The 16,028-nt window shown below is 54.0% G+C and overlaps 7 annotated features.

The window, feature by feature from the left end:
- Positions 4,215 to 5,414: an enhancer, noted in NCBI's record as "BRD4-independent group 4 enhancer chr6:168681558-168682757 (GRCh37/hg19 assembly coordinates)". NCBI's record gives its function as "activates an origin of replication core promoter dependent on BRD2, P300/CBP, MED14 and CDK7 cofactors, and independent of BRD4, by STARR-seq in HCT116 cells {active_cell/tissue: HCT116}" and the evidence as "EXISTENCE:reporter gene assay evidence [ECO:0000049][PMID:35650434]".
- Positions 4,215 to 6,037: a biological region, named in NCBI's record as "BRD4-independent group 4 enhancer GRCh37_chr6:168681558-168682757".
- Positions 4,579 to 4,763: a silencer, noted in NCBI's record as "fragment chr6:168682209-168682393 (GRCh37/hg19 assembly coordinates)". NCBI's record gives its function as "represses an EF-1alpha promoter that drives an FKBP-Casp9 reporter gene in an ReSE screen in K562 erythroleukemia cells {active_cell/tissue: K562}" and the evidence as "EXISTENCE:reporter gene assay evidence [ECO:0000049][PMID:32094911]".
- Positions 4,729 to 5,382: an enhancer, noted in NCBI's record as "H3K4me1 hESC enhancer chr6:168681590-168682243 (GRCh37/hg19 assembly coordinates)". NCBI's record gives its function as "activates a minimal SCP1, AML or CMV promoter by ChIP-STARR-seq in primed H9 embryonic stem cells {active_cell/tissue: H9 hESC(primed)}" and the evidence as "EXISTENCE:reporter gene assay evidence [ECO:0000049][PMID:30033119]".
- Positions 5,383 to 6,037: an enhancer, noted in NCBI's record as "H3K4me1 hESC enhancer chr6:168680935-168681589 (GRCh37/hg19 assembly coordinates)". NCBI's record gives its function as "activates a minimal SCP1, AML or CMV promoter by ChIP-STARR-seq in primed H9 embryonic stem cells {active_cell/tissue: H9 hESC(primed)}" and the evidence as "EXISTENCE:reporter gene assay evidence [ECO:0000049][PMID:30033119]".
- Positions 6,692 to 7,346: an enhancer, noted in NCBI's record as "H3K4me1 hESC enhancer chr6:168679626-168680280 (GRCh37/hg19 assembly coordinates)". NCBI's record gives its function as "activates a minimal SCP1, AML or CMV promoter by ChIP-STARR-seq in naive H9 embryonic stem cells {active_cell/tissue: H9 hESC(naive)}" and the evidence as "EXISTENCE:reporter gene assay evidence [ECO:0000049][PMID:30033119]".
- Positions 12,433 to 13,145: an enhancer, noted in NCBI's record as "H3K4me1 hESC enhancer chr6:168673827-168674539 (GRCh37/hg19 assembly coordinates)". NCBI's record gives its function as "activates a minimal SCP1, AML or CMV promoter by ChIP-STARR-seq in naive H9 embryonic stem cells {active_cell/tissue: H9 hESC(naive)}" and the evidence as "EXISTENCE:reporter gene assay evidence [ECO:0000049][PMID:30033119]".

Genomic DNA, 16,028 nt, shown 5'->3' with positions numbered 1-16,028 from the left:
TCCCCAGAGTCGGGCACTTTTGTCCTCTGCCTCATCAGTGTGAGCTCTTGGCTTCAGTTCCCACACAAGCAAAGACGCTGACAGCAGCGTTGTGTGGGATCCCGGAAAATGGGCCCAGCTTGCGGATCAGTAGAAGAAGACTCACCAAATTCTGGGTTGTTGTAGCTTGGAATATAGTGCAGACATTAGGATAATCGTTTTGGATATCTCAACAAGAAAGGGATTTTGTAAGATGGCAAATACTATAAAAATGTGTAACATAGCAGAGTACAAAGGCTGAATAGAGAATAGGAGATCGAGATTAGAGAAGATTGGGGAATAGCGGTTATAGGAGGCTCCAGCCATATAAAAATGCGAGCACAAGAGGCCGTCAGAACTTTATTCTTTTAATCACTGAGGGGAAGTGCTTTTTGCCCAATTTTCCTATCAAGTTTTCATACCATTTTTATAAAGGAACAGAGTTTTCCAGTCACGGAAGGAAACATTTCCCATGCCAGTCCCAGGCAGCGGCGTCTTGCGTGGTTAATCCTGAGCGGGGCAGCTTGGGTGGATCCCGGTTTTAGGCTGACGCGCTGCATGAATCCAGACGACCTCCTGGCTCCTGGCGGTCTGGCCTGCTCGGTGTGGATTGGGGGTGTCATTACCTGGCCCGCGGAGGGATGCGATAATGCCGAGGTGTCTGCACTAGCAGAGTTAGAGGACGTGCTCCATAAATGGTCACTGTCGTTATGAACACGATCAGGTGCTGGGGTTGCCGGCAGCGTTAGTTCCGTGGGCATACTCCTTATTTGAGGTGCATCATTTTTTTGTTAAGTTAAAATGTACTATCTTTGTATAAGTTTTCGAGGGCTGCCATAATTAAGAACCACAGCCTGGGTGACCTAAACAGCAGGAATTTGTCGTCTCCCAGGCCTGGAGGTCCAACGTCCGAGATCAAGATGCCGCAGGGCTGTGGGTTCTCTGAAGGAGCAGGGGAAGGGTGTGCTCCAGGCCTCTCTCCGTAGCCTGCAGACAGCCGTCTTCCCCTCTGTGTCTGTCTGTCTCTATGTCCAGATTGCTCCTTCTTATGAGAACACCAGTCATATTGGTTTAGGGCCACCCTAATAATCACTCTCTAACATAATCACCACTGTAGCAGCCCTATTTTCAAATAGAGTCACATTCCGAGATACTGGGGGTTAGGATGCCAACATATGCTTTTTGGGGGCAGACACAGTTCAACCCATAACAGTCATTTATCTAAAGACTTTGAAAATTCTTGCAAATTAGGAAAAGGTACATCGAGTTCCCCGTTGTAATGAGTTCCCCATTTGTGGGTGATGAAGGCACCCATTTGTGGGTGAAGAATGAAAAATGGATACTGGTTGGGAGGCCACTGCACCAGTCCAAGCACAAGGTGGTGATAGTGTCGACGAGGGCGTTTGCGATGGAGGTAGGGTAAGTGGCCTAAGTTAGGGTATGTTTTGCAGGTGAGCAGAGCCCATGAGACTTGTGATGGGGTGTGAAGCGGCAACTCAAAGAGGACTCCAAAACTTTGTCCTGCATGTTTGGAAGGATGGAGTTGCTGCCTCCTGAAATAGGGAAGGGGAATGGGAATGTTTAGCAGGAAGATCATGGGTCCATTTTCAGGCTCATTTTGAGGGCCCAGACATGCACATGAGCATTCCAGGACCCACGGGGACGGGAGATGCCCTTCCATCCAAGCCAGCCCCTCCTCTTCTCTACAAAGGCATAGCCACAGGCAGTGGGTTGGGCAAGTTGGTGGCCAGAGTGGGAGCATGGGGGAGGAAACAGCTGGTAGGGGAGATGGAGTTCATGGTGACTGTCATCCAGGAAGCCTCGGAATTGTGCCTCAAGGAATGTGAGTCAAAGGCAGAAACATACAGAGAATGAGTTGGGCAGGACCAGAGGGAGAAGGAGGAGCATGAGCCGGAATGGAAGGTGCTGAAGGTGCCTGTCTGGGAGGCTGTGGCTCTGTGAGGAAGCAGGGCTGGCCACATCTGCATGAATCTAGACCTCACCCTGGCTCTCCCCAGCCGTGCCCCTCGGGTGAGCATGCAGCACCCTGCACCCGGCACACGCTCCTACCTTCCATGCTCAGAGCCGTGCCCCTCGGGTGAGCATGCAGCACCCTGCACCCGGCACACGCTCCTACCTTCCATGCTCAGAGCCGTGCCCCTCGGGTGAGCATGCAGCACCCTGCACCCGGCACACGCTCCTACCTTCCATGCTCAGAGCCGTGCCCCTCGGGTGATCATGGAGCACCCTGCACCCGGCACACGCTCCTACCTTCCATGCTCAGAGCCGTGCCCCTCGGGTGAGCATGCAGCACCCTGCACCCGGCACACGCTCCTACCTTCCGTGCTCCGGCTTGCTGCTCAGGTGTCTACATGCACACCACTGGCACCATCGGGATATGGGATGGCCGAGCGGCTGGGTGAGCTGGTGGGCCTCCGTGGTGACTTGTTCATCTGGCACCTGCTCTCTCCTTCATGCAGGCTTGCAGGTGTATCTTCAGTGACCCATTTCCAAACCCCAAACCAAGCATCAGGCCATAGCCAATCGACGTGAGTAGCCAAGGGTCTAGCAAGCATCTATGGGTTCCTCTCTCCACGCATGCTATGTGCACCTCTACCAGCACCTGCAGAGCCCTGGAGGGCCCCTCACCGCAGCCTTGCAGGAGCCCCCACTCCCGGGACTGCATGGGCCTGTCTGTCCTTCAGAACTTGTGTGTTCCCAGCTGTGTCCTCGGCTGCTGCCTCGGACATGACCTGGGGCTTCAAGCAAGAGACTCATTGCCCGCGGCGCTGGAGCTAGAAGTTCAGAACCCAGGTGGCGGCAGGGCTTTCTCTCTCTCTCATCTTCTGGGGTACCATATGCTGAGAGTTTGTGTCCCTCCAAATTACCGAAGTCCTCCCCTCCCCAAGGTGACGGCATTAGGGGGGCCTTTGGGAGGGGCTGGTTTCTTGAGGGTGGAGCCTCATGGGCAGGGTGAGTGCCCTTATGTAATGTCCTACAGGAGGCCCAGAGGGCTCCTCACCCCTTCCACCACGTAAGGGCACTGCGGGAAGATGACACTAGGAAGCAGCGCTCACCACACACTGAATCTGCCCTGACCTTGGACTGCCAGCCTCCCGCCCGGACCTTGGACTGCCAGCCTCCGGAACAGTGGCGGGTGAATGTCTGCTGCTGATCGGCCACAGAGTCTATTCTCAGAGCCACCTGAGCAGTCTGAGACATGGTGGTCTCTGGCTCTTCGTGGCATTTCTGGCTTCTATGGAGACAGGGCCTGCAGTCTCTGCCCCCATCAGGACCTGGCTGTTCTCCCTCTGTGTGTCCCACAGTGCTCCCCTCTCAGGTCTGTCCTCTTATTATATGGACACTATCATATTGCACTAAGGACCACCTACCCCACTGTGACCTCATCTTAACTTAAATCATTTTTTTTTTTTTGAGACAGAGTCTTGCTCTGTCACCCAGGCTGAAGTTCAGTGGCACAATCTCGGCTCATTGCAACCTCCACCTCCCGGGTTCAAGCGATTCTCCTGCCTCAGCCTCCTGAGTAGCTGGGATCACAGGTGCCTGCCACCATGCCTGGCTAATTTTTGGATTTTTAGTAGCGGCAGAGTTTCACCATGTTGGCCAGGCTGGTTTCAAGCTCCTGACCTCAGGTGATCCACCCATCTCGGCCTCCCAAAGTGCTGGGATTACAGGTGTGAGCCACCAAGCTGGACTTAATTTGCATCTTAATTGTAATTGCAATGACCATATTTACAAATAAGAACAGATTCACAGGTTTCAGGGGCTAGGACTTCAGCATATGGGTGGTATGAGGAGCAATTCATTCCACTGCACCAGGCAAGGCTTTCTGACCCTCTGGGCTGGACACACGTGCAGTCCTTGCCACCTCTGCCCTCCTCATTCCCAATGTCACACCATCCATGGATAAACCTCCTGCCTGGACCGTGAGCACCTGTCATTGAAGAGTGTACAAATCAGAGGGAGTTCTATGTAGGGCATTGAAGTACTGGGCCTTGTTTCTAGGGGAATGCCAGGGAAGACACATTCTGGAACTTTCTGAGCACTTAGGATTTGCAGTCAAATGAGAGTCTCATAGTGTTTTCATGTAGAGAAGAGAAAATCAACGCTGAGAAAGTATTGATCTTAAATGCACAGGCACACAGAAAGCCCTGCTAGATGCGATGGAGTGCTGCCCATGAACGTGCCCTGTACTCCCTGTGGGTTGGCTCAGGCCTGGGCACACTGACGTCCACACCCCGACCACAGCACTCGCTGGCCCACACAGCCCTTCAATGCAGCCTCAGTGAAGGCACCTCCAGAGAGGAGAGCACCACACAGTCACGAAGAAAAATAAAGTGCAAAGTTGAGGCCAACATACTAAGTTAAAAAGTAGATTAGAAAACAGATTTTATGGAGCCAAATGTGTGATGTATTCAGAAAAACATTCACGCAGTGACGATGTGATGTGGTAAGATGATGGGTGTCCCACACGTTCGCGGCAGTGACGATGTGATGTGGTAAGATGATGGGTGTCCCACACGTTCGCGGCAGTGACGATGTGATGTGGTAAGATGATGGGTGTCCCACACGTTCGCGGCAGTGACGATGTGATGTGGTAAGATGATGGGTGTCCCACACGTTCGTGGCAGTGACGATGTGATGTGGTAAGATGATGGGTGTCCCACACGTTCGCGGCAGTGACGATGTGATGTGGTAAGATGATGGGTGTCCCACACATTCGCGGCAGTGACAATGTGATGTACTAAGATGACTGGTGTCCCACCTGCTTTCACATTTCCCAGCATAGGGAGGTGTTTCTCAGAGAGATGAATGTGCTTTTCCTTTTCAAACTTCCCTTAGTACCAGCTGCAACCTAGCCTGAGGCATTCCTTGAAACTTCCAAAGTAGGATTTTAAAACTTACAGAGAAACAATGATATTGCAAGTCAGGCTTTGCTAAGGAAGAAAAGTGACTTCTGAACCCCAGAAGGCCTAGAGGAATGGAAGCCGGGATTCAAGCCCCAGGACACAGCTCCGGCTCGGCAGGGGATGGTTAGGGAGCTCTTGCTCCTAAGAGGAAGCTTTGGAATGGCTGAGCAAGGGTTGACCAGGCTTTGCAGTGGCAGAGCGTCATTTCCCATGAGACCGCCTTCCCTCCCCACCCGTGGATGACAAAGAGGCACGGAAGTGAGCACACACAGAGGGGGTGGAGAGGTGCGGCCCCAGGGCTCGACCTGCTGGGCTGGACAGGACCGTGTGCAGCCAATTGACCGTGCATTGACCCTCCCTGACACCTGTGTTCCTGGTTCATAAATAAGAGCAACGGTTGTGTTCACGTGACTTGAAGAGGAAACTCAGGGATGCAGCGTTGTGCCTGCTGCTCTGAAAATGAGGCACTGCTGTTGGGAGGCTTGGTCTCCATGTGCAACCCCTTGAGTTTCCAGCTCTGAGTATGGACTTGCTTTGCCTGTTTCTCATGTGTACACCAAATGATGAAATGCTTGCCACTGGCTTACCCTTCAGAGGAAAGGTATTTCCCAACACGGAGTCAATGATGTTGACAAGGCTTTCAGAAACTCCACATAGACCATCAACATCAAACTGCAAGGTGGTGCTCGCATCTTCAGTGCAAGGCACCCCTCTGTGTGTCTTGTGCTGAGCTCGGTGTCACTTGTGTGCCACTGTCAAAGGCATCAGTCGGCAGCCCACGAGGCATCTGTTCCGCTTTTACAATTAGTGCCGGGACTCTTTGAAGCTGCAGAAGATGCCTCCGAGGTCTTCTCTGAAAGGCCCGGTTGTATTCAGCGTGGTTATTTTTGGAGCTGGCTGGAAGAAAGATCTGTGTAGATGCAGTGCCTAGAAGCTGGTGTAGATCACAGCTCTCGCTTCTTCATTAATTTCAAATGAATTAATTCACATTTCCATCAGCATGAGGCGCTGAGTGAAGGATGATTGATGTGCAGTCCCGGCTGCAGCCCCCACAGGAGCACACAGCGGCCTTGAGCACGCCCTCCCCATCTCCCAACCTCTGTAGGAGGGACGTGGACAGGACAGGGCTGGGCCGGGGGCTGAGGACTCTGAGCGGGGGACGGGAGTGACACTGGAAGCTGGCGGAGTCTCTATATCCTGGGGCTGCCCCACAGCTGGGCCTCACCCTCTGTGACATTGCCCACCCCAAGCACCCAGCCTGGGAGGAGAGGAGGAGTGAGCCCAGGGACCATCTGACCCTGTCCGAGCCCAGGGACCCTCTGACCCCACCGGGAGGAGAGGAGGAGCAAGCCCAGGGACCCTCTGACCCTGCCTGAGCCCCTGGTGCCGCTTTTCGCTATCGCCCTGGACAAGGGAGCCCAGTTCTCAAGCTTCCTTCTCCGTGGCAGTAGAATAAGGAGCCAAGTGCGACCGATGGGATTGAGGCCAGGGGAGCCCAGCCTGGGACCTGCGGGGCATGGAGACTCCCCCTAGTGCAACCTCGGCCGTGTGTACAACAGACAGCGCAGCCCAGATTCCGAGGCTCATTCAGCACGATGGGTCAAGGATTGTAGACCCTGCTCAGCCTAGGAGGCAGGAGACCGGGCGGCGAGTTTGCACAACCTTGGCAGATGATGAGCTTGTGGGGGGAGAGGCTGCCCCCGTGGGGAGGGTCCTGTCCTCGCAGGTGGACACCCGGAGGGCTCACGGCACCATCCTCTCTCTCCTGGGCGGCTGTGGCAACACCACGGGGGCTGCTGAGCTGTCCCTGACACTGCCTGTTCCATCTCCATGGGTGGCACCTGCTTTCGAGGTGGCAGAGGAGATTCACCACCACACAAACGTAACTTGCCTGACACGTGATGCTTCCTGCCTTCTGAAAATGCCTTCTAGTCCCTGGGAAAGCCCAGGAAAGGGATTCCACTGTTGGCATTTGTGGGTCCCACTAACAGAGACTCGAGACGTTTCTAACTATGCTCTGTGTTGGGTGAGCCAAAACCTGTCCACTCACGCGACGAGGCCTCTGGGGTGCTGGGGAGCCTCCCTCTCATTCCGTTTCTGGCCCTCACGAGCTCTTGCTCCCTACAGTGAGCTCAGAAGCAGACACGCACCATTCTCCTCCTTCCCATTCTCTCTGGGGAGTACACGGGAGGGTGTGGTCTAGATGGGCGGTGCCTGTGTACCTCTTGCGGAAAGCAGGAACTCACAGCTGACCTGGGCTTGCTAGTTAGATGCTCCTCACCAGGACAGGAGCAAGTGCCCCAAGAGACGTGAAATCACGCCAGTGTTTGTGGTGGCTGGAGACACCCCTGCAGGAGAGGAGCAGGGCCGCTCCGTGGCTCACCCTGTCTTAGATAAACCACGGTGGTGACTGGACAGACCCCCTGCAGGAGAGGAGCGGGCTGCTCCGTGGCTCACCCTGTCTTAGATAAACCACGGTGGTGACTGGAGAGACCCCCTGCAGGAGAGGAGTGGGCCGCTCCGTGGCTCACCCTGTCTTAGATAAACCACAGCTGCTCTGCCACCACTTCTGGGCTAATGAACAAGAAACAAATAAAAGAGACAAGGGCATTTGGTCACAATAAGTGTTACTGAGATTTAAAATGAGGAGGGATGACAGCAAGTGACCAGACGCCTGGCCCCTCCTGCTGGAGAGGGGTGTGGGGTCCCCCACTCCTGCCTGGTTCACAGTGCACCTGAGGGAGCAGCACCCCCGGAGCCACTGTCTATCACCTGAGCAGCCTTGGTCCTGCACAGCCCTGTATCACGCGGTTTTGCAAGATGGTGCTGGGGGTTTGGTTTTATTCTAACTGTGTCGAGCAATCAGTGGACAGATTTTGAGCAGAGAGAGGCATCATCTAATTTAATTTTGCTTTTCAGATGCTCCTATCTTCTGTGTAGAGGACAGATTATCATTGAGAAGAGTGGAATCAGGGAAACCAAGATGCAGCCGAGGCTATGGCCATGGTCCAGGTGACAGGTGATGGAGACGTAGGCCAGAGGGGAAGGAGCAGGGATGAGAGAACTGGATGGGCGTGGTGCACCTGATGCTATAGAATAAGGTGGTGCATGCAATGTAGAATAATATGGAACATGTGATAATAAAGCAGAATGAGCATGACCCATGGGTGTCGACGGAGAAGAGCGTGGTGCGTATGACATGGGGTGAACGCGGCCAATATGATGTTGTAGAATAGTGTGGCTCACGTGATGTAGAATGGCATGGCTCAGATAATGTTGAATAATGTGGCTCACGTGGTGTAGAGTGGCATGGCTCACGTGGTGTAGAATAACGTGGCTCATGTGGTATAGAAAAGCGTGGCCCATGTGATGTAGAATAACATGTATTTTTTGGAATCTCATTAAGTTTACATTGACTGTAAGTCTACCCATTGGAAATGCTGAGTAGGCAGCTGGAATTCTTAACTGGAAGCTCCTTGGAATACGAAGCGCTGGAGAGAGTTTGGGGAGTCACTGGCACTTGGGTAGAACTGGTTGAGGTCACCCAGGGAGATGGCATAAAGAGGGGAAACAGGGACCCGGGACTAAGCCCTGAGTCACTCCACTCTCTGTGGGTTTAACAGAGGAGGAAATACTGCTAATAAGCGTGAGGAGCCAAGAGTGAAGGGGCAGGAACCCCGGACACTGTGCTATCAGAGACAGGAGAAAGATGCTCTCTCAGGACGGGAGCTGCCGCTGGTGAAATGCTGCTGGAATGCAGCCCAACTAAGGCCACCTATGGGCTCCGGAGGGAGGACGCTGCTAGGCTGGGCTGGGGAGGAAGTGGGAACCCTCACACCTGCTAGCTCTCCCAAGAGCTACTGCTGCTCAGGGCTGGGGAGAAGGGAACATTGCGTGGCGTGCGGTTTGGAGTCCAGCTAGCGGCCTGTTTTTGCAGGTGCTGGCTCCTGGGGCCAACACGTGCTGGTGGCTGTCATCATCCAGCCCTACAGGGAACCCTGAGGAGAAGACAGGCCAGGTCCGCGGAGCAGGGTCTTTGCTTTGTGGACGCCGTACAGCAGCTGCAGAGCTGTGCTTGACGGGCCCTCGCCCTCATCCAGCGAGGAGGAGACGATGAGCTCCCCTCCAGTGGCCCTGGTTGTTGAGACGTGTGGGGTTAGAGTATCAGCTGAAAGTGAGGAGGGGGAAAGGTGTGTGTGTGAGGGCAGAGGAGAGCTGTGCAGGGACGGTCCTGGGACGGGGAAGACGCTGGCGGTGCCGCTTTCTCCGCAGCTGCGTGGCCGGACCCAGAGTGCGAGGCTTGCTCCCCTCGGATGGGTGGAGACTTATAAAGAGAATGAAATGTCTCCAAATGGCAACCAGCACACACTGGTAGCCAAAATTACGAGATATTAGAAGTCTAAAATCATAAAATTGAAGACAATAAAATGTTCTGCGGATGGTCCTGTGTCACGTACATGCTAATAGGCGCGGCCTTGCGGGCCCTGGAGCCCCCTGCACTCTGCTGGGATATTACAAACCAATCCACGGAGCCGGACAAAGGACCCAGGGCAGACGTGGGCAGTCACAGTGAAAGGACCCAGGGCAGACGTGGGCAGTCACAGTGAAGTAACAGTCACGCATCGCGGAGCACGAACTGCCGCTTCCCGTGGCTCCAGCACATGTCAACCTTGAGTCCTCTTCGTGGTTTTAAAAGCAAATTTAATAATCATCTTAAAGACTTGGTGGGATATACAGGAGTCCAAGCTTTGGCAGTAGTTCTTTTGTTCAAGAGCAGAGAAAAATTGGAGTGAATAATTCAAATACAGCAGGAACTCAATTCTCCACTGGAATTATTTTTCATCCTTTCAGTGAGGATTAATCCTGATTATGTAATCTTTCAGAATTAGGATTCAGTCAATTGTGATAAAAGAAGGCTTTGGAATCACTCCAAGCATCCTGTCACTGAGCACGGGAGAGCCAGCCCTTGGCTTGGTCCACCTCCTCCACCTCACATCCCACCCATTCACGTCTCCCTCCTCCTGTCCCCTCAGCCCCGGGCCTCTCTGAGCTAAAGGAAAATGTCCCTCATCGTTTTCCCGTGGTGTGTCTCTCAGGCCTCGCAGAGAACAAGACGGAGTCCAAGGCACTATGGAGGAACCTGGGGCCTGTAGGGGATCCTGGGGACAGTCAGGCACACCAGAAACTTTAGGGGACCCTGTGGGCTGTAGGGGACCCAGTGACTATAGGGGACCTCCAGACTTTAGGGAACCCCAGGGACTGTAGGGGGCCCTGCAGACTACAGGGGACCCAGGTCTACAGGGGACCCCCAGACTGTAGGGACGTTGAAGACTGGAGCAGCCAAGAGGGGCCCCTTCTCCCTGAGACTCGTGCTGTCACAGAGTTGCTCCCTCCAGGCTTGGGAGCGTGGCAGAGCCAGGTCCCAGCACACAGACGAGCTCTCCTGGCTCTCAGAGGGAGTCTGGTTAGTACCGTCGTGGCATCTCTAGAATAAGGAATCAGGCAGGAGTGCAGAGATGAGAGGAAGGACACTGTTCCGGAAAGGCTCTGAAGGAAAGACACTCTAAACATCAGAGAGAAGCTCTTAATTCTAACAGGAGCTGCAGTTACACAGAGAAGAGAGACTCCTCCGCCCCAAGCTGAAACACTGCCTGCACTTCCCAACACCAACTGGAGAAAGTTACCCATCCCTGGAACCACAGGTGTGCCCCTGTAAGTCCAGCTGAGGCTGCCTTGGCTCACTGAGGGCCAGGCTGAGATGGGAGGATGCTGGCCCAGGCGGCCCTGTAGGCAGCACCTCTGGAGTCTGAAGCCCTGAGTTTAAATCCCCACCTCCACATGCTTGTCTCGGGCAAAGGATGTTAGCCTCTCTGCCCCCAGTTCCTTCTCTGAAACAGGATGTTCACCGTGTCTCGAAAGCAGGGCCTGGAGAGGAGGGAATGCCAGCGTGGGTGGGATGCAGGAGGGAGCTCCAGCGTCAGTGGGATGCAGGAGGGAGCACCAGCGTCGGTGGGATGCAGGAGGGAGCACCAACGTCGGTGGGATGCTGTGTTCCTGGCACGCAGGATGCCCTCAGAAAGCAGTTATAGGGCCAGGAAGCCCAGCTGCTAATTCTAATGCAAACTCCCTTTGCCTTAGTTTCTCTGCACACAAAATTCGGGATCTGGATCTCCCCACTGTGGGGAGGTCCCTAAGCTGTGCAGCTCAGGCCCAGGGCATGTTTTTAAAGAGAAAATGCAACTGAAGCAACACAACTATGCAGAAAGTAAGAGAAAGAAGAAAGAAAGACAGGGAAGAAAGAAGGGAGGGAGGGAGGGAGGGAGGATTAGAAAGAAAGTTTATTAATGAAATCAGCAATTGCCATCCTGCAGTGGCAACTTGCAGTGCTTGCCTCTGCAAACCATCCGCGACCTCGGCCTTGCCTTTCCTCTTCCAGCTGCACTGCTCCCTCCTGCGCCCCCATTGCCTGGGGTGCAAGCGATGTGGGAAGCTAAGATTCATGCTTTCCCCTGGTCTCTGAGGTGCAAATGCTGCCCTATCCTGCAGGCCTCAGGCTGGAGAGGCCACGCAGAGGCCATTGCAGGGAGGGAAGGGGCATGTGTCCCTGGGAGGGGCATGTGCAAAGGGCAGCTTCAGGTGCCAGAACCTAACTTTCTGCCCGTGTTTGCAGACCTGTCCAATGCAGACCCTTGTCGAGACTAAGATTTCTCAAGTTAAACAGTCAATTAAACAGGATTGCGTTTAGCCAGTCCTGTGGGTTAAACATTAAACCAGACCAGAGGAAAAGCAATCCACAATGAGACATTCTTCCCCCATCAGGACCTGCCCCAGCCGTACCATGTCCTGTGGGAGCTGTGGACACATTTATAGGAGAAGACAGAGACCTGGTGGCCATCCTGTCCATCCAGACTGGGACATGGGACAGGGATGGGGTGTTCCTCGCACTGACTTAGGGAGAGCAACCAGGTGCTCTCTGAGGACGGCCACCTCGTTTCCCTGTCCTGTCCTTGTGTCCTGGGGAAAGGCAGCAGCAGAGTTGGGGGCAGGGCGGGGCTGGGACCTGTTCTTGTGCCACGATAGGGGGCTCTTTGATCCACCCCTGGGCATTGTAAAGGGTGGGAGGGGAGTCTCTGGGCTTGGGTGAGAATGCTCCCGTGCGGGATCCGTGCCGGGTTTTCAGGAGACTGGTGACAGCTCAGTGGGGACTGGGGCGCTGTGTGCTGTGAAGGGAACCCGGCCCACCCCCCCCCCCCCCCCCGCACCCAGCAGCTGTAAGTGTGGTTCCTCCCATGGTGCTGGGCTGGGTGGAGCCAAGACGGCCACCGCTGTGGAGAGAAGGGAGTGGCTCCCTCAGCAAGCCCGCTTTCTCCTTCCATTAGGCTCTCAGGGGGAACTAGGACAGTTGACGGTGAAACAAAATGCCAGGGTGTGTCTCCCCAGGCAGTCTGCTGGCCGCCTGCTCTTCCCAGGGTGGCAACTTTTGCTGAGTCCCGTATCCCACCCCACACCGCCAACCAGGGCCCTGGCCAGGGGACACAGCCAGTGTGGACAGCGACGCGGGTGGGGACCCTGCATGCTGGCCTAGTTACCTCTCATTCTGATGTGGCATAAAAGAAAACTCTTGTTCCTGCTTTTGGATGGGAGAAGCAAAAGCAATTGCCACTGTCCCCATGAAACATGAACATGAAACATGAAGCAATCGGCACCGTCCCCATGAAATGCGAACATGAAACATGAAGCAATCGGCACCGTCCCCATGAAACATGAACTTGACTCTGAGCTGCAGGAGAGCTCTCGGTGGGGACCTTCCTCCTCCTGGAAGCCAGGGGTCCCCAAGGCCCAGGCCTAGCTCCTCAGGCATCAGCCCAAGGGCGGCTGTGGGGGTGGCTCCCCACACAGAAGTCCAGGCCCCCCTTCTGTGGGCTGCAGAAATCTTTAAAGAACCCGTCCCAGTGTAGGACTCATTCACACAGAGGGCCAGGGGCTTTGGCTCAGGCGTCTTGGTGAAAGGAGAACCGGAGCAAACACCTTGCAAATCACACCACAGTTTATCACTTACAGGAAAATCCCTGAAGAAGAAAAGATGTCATGGCAGGAATGTCAAAACTGTTGTTATATAAATAAGAGATTTAGTGGAAATACCTTCCCCCTCTTAAGCCTCTGCACAGACTTGCTAATTTGACAGACAAGCCAAGCGTGAAGACTTCTTGGATGCTTAGTAGAGGGTCACAGCTCTCATGGAAATCGAACAGGAACCTCCTCGGCACCATATTCTATTTTGACGTGTAATATGCCACTTAAATCTCCCATGCAGTACTGTGAGACGAATTTCTGTAAGCTTTTTGTGTAAGGAGGGTTTCACACCTCATTTTAGTTTTTAAAAACACATTTACTATAAATGTGAGATTTTGGCTCCGAAGAAAACAGGATTTACTGTGCTTTGTCCATTCCAAAACTAATTTTGTGTGTTTGCTCCAGCAGCCAAGCAGTTAAGTTGCCCCATGAAAGGTGGCGAGATGCGCCTGCTGGAGTTTATCTCTTATCAGCTTCAACAGGGCGGCACGGACATGAATAAGCTGGTTTCTGCAGCTTTTAAACTTAGACGACTATGAAAAATTCTCTAGAATGGCAAAGAGTTGCAGGAGACAATTGGCTGGACTTTCAGTGAAAGGTTTTCCAGCCTCTAAAAGAAAGCAGAGACTAGTTTTCAGCTTGTAGAATAGTGCCTTTGCAGGGCTACTCCTAGTCAAACCGCATCACACGCGTTCCCGGCACTTCCTGTCAATCAGGGACCGCCTCCAGCAGGAGTGTTGGGTCCCCACAGGCAGAAAGCCAGGAGCAGCTCTCGGAGCATCTCTCAGGGATTTCCTCTAGGGCTTTACCTGTGGTTGTGTGTTTTGTTTTAGGGGTGAAACATTTAAATGTTTAAGGATGTTTGGGGAGGGCAGTGCACAAGCTGGGGTTGGAGTGTGTGGTAGACAAGCGAATGCAGACCTCATGTGTGTGAAGTCCAGTATTTTATTCCATTCAGCAAACAATAAAGTAAGAGACCTACTCTGTCTCCTGGAGCCACTGCTGATGCCTCCATTGAGAGGCATCGATATGAACAGACATCAATATCACGTCAATAAAAGGGGCAGAGCCACGTCTTTTCACTGCCTTCGCCTTCAGCCCACCCGAGCCAGCCCAGGCCTGCCTGCATTTGCCACACGCCTGTGGAGCTGGGTCGCCACCGCTGGGGCTGTCCCTGTGCCGCTTCCGTGTTGCTGCTGTGCGTGTCTAGACACTGTGGGATTCTGAGCGCTGGCGTTGGGCTCTGCTGGGCCTGTGAGTGCGATTTCTCCTGGGCCAGCTGGGACCCCGTCCTGGGGCGCAGACAGTTCCGAGCTTTGTTTAGATGGGTGATAGTACAGCATTTCCACATTACATGGATATGCTCGGATTGTCTCTCACTTCTGCTGTCCCGGGGCGAGGTACCTGGAGGGAGGGAGGATCCCTCGGCAAGACACCGTCCTCTGGGTCCCTGCAGCCTGCACAGGAAGCGTGTGGCCGCCCAGGCAGATTTCAGCGGGAACGAGGATTCCAGCATGTGTGCGTGGCCCTGTGTGCGTACCTGGGTGGGAAGGGGGCGGCCGCCCAGGGATTTCAGAGGGAACGAGGATTCCAGCATGTGTGTATGGCCCTGGTCCTCCAGCACCTGAGTCTCACCTGCCTTGTCTGGCTGCTTGGTCAGCCCAAGCAGAGCACAGGTCCTCTCAGTGGAAGGACTGGGAAGGTGAAATGGCCGGGCGCGGTGGCTCACGCCTGTAATCCCAGCACTTTGGGAGGCTGAGGCGGGCGGATCACCTGAGGTCAGGAGTTCGAGACCAGCCTGACCAACATGGAGAAACCTGGTGTCTACTAAAACTACAAAATTAGCCGGCCGTGGTGGCACATGCCTGTAATCCCAGCTACTCTGGAGGCTGAGGCAGGAGAATCACTTGAACCCGAGAGGCGAGGTTGCAGTGAGCCGAGATCGCACCATTACACTCCAGCCTGGGCAACAAGAGTGAAACTCTGTCTCAAAAAAAAAAAAAAAAAGAAGGAAGGTGAAGGCAGATGTGGACAAAGCGTCTTGCACCCTCCCAGAGGGTGGCCACCTCCTTTTACGAAGTACAGAGAAAATGTCAGCTTTCTACCTAGTGAAGCCCAGCTCGATGGGGACAGGCGACTCTAAATCCCCTCACCCTAGAATCAAGGACAAGCCCCATGCACTTGGCAGGAGGGAGCAGTCTCATTGATCTGGGTTCTGTATCCCATAGCGAGAGCAGTCCCTCGGGCACGTGGACTGGGTGCGTGGGAGCCTGAGATCTGGATGAGAGGTTTGTTTTTTCCTGGAGGGTCAATGGTAGGAACCTCTATTGACCAGACCTGTGATGCCGGCTTGTGTTTTGTGTCGTTTGGCAGAGTTCCCACCTGTAGCTTGTCAGGCAGGGCTGGCCTGTGTGGGGTTTTGTGACCGCAGTTGATGGGAGTTGTGGGGCACCCACTCAGAGGAGCCGGGGGCAGGAGGCACCTCCATCCCTGGCACGGAGCCTCCAGAGACAGGACAGCTTCCCCTCCTAGGACAGCTAGCACCCACTCGGGAGGCTGTGAGATGGGGGGCCACTCGCTGGTCCCCCACAGCGGCCATGCCCTGAGACGATGCATGTGTGTGAGACAACATGGGGTGTATAGTGTGTGTGCATTATGTGTATCTGTGGTGTGTGCATATGGTGTGTACTATGTGTGTGTGTTCTGTGTGTATGTTGTGTGTCGAGTATGTGTGTTCTGTGTAATATGCGTGTGTATGGTCTGAGTTTTGTGTGTGTGTGTGTGTGTGGTGTGGTATACATGCTGTGTGTGGGGTATGTAGTGTGTGTGTGTGGTGTGCATATTACGTGTATCTACAGTGGTGTATATGGTGTGTGTAGTGTGTGTGGTGTAGCTTATATGTTGTGTGAGAGGAGGGTGGCGTGTGTGTGGAGTGTGTATTATGTATGTGTGGTGTGATGTATATGATGTGTATGGGGTGTATGTGTGTGGTTTGGTGTATATGAT

This window comes from Homo sapiens, chromosome 6 (genome assembly GCF_000001405.40).
Source record: "Homo sapiens chromosome 6, GRCh38.p14 Primary Assembly".
Taxonomy (NCBI): domain Eukaryota; kingdom Metazoa; phylum Chordata; class Mammalia; order Primates; family Hominidae; genus Homo; species Homo sapiens.
This window is presented reverse-complemented; position numbering and strand designations above follow the sequence as displayed.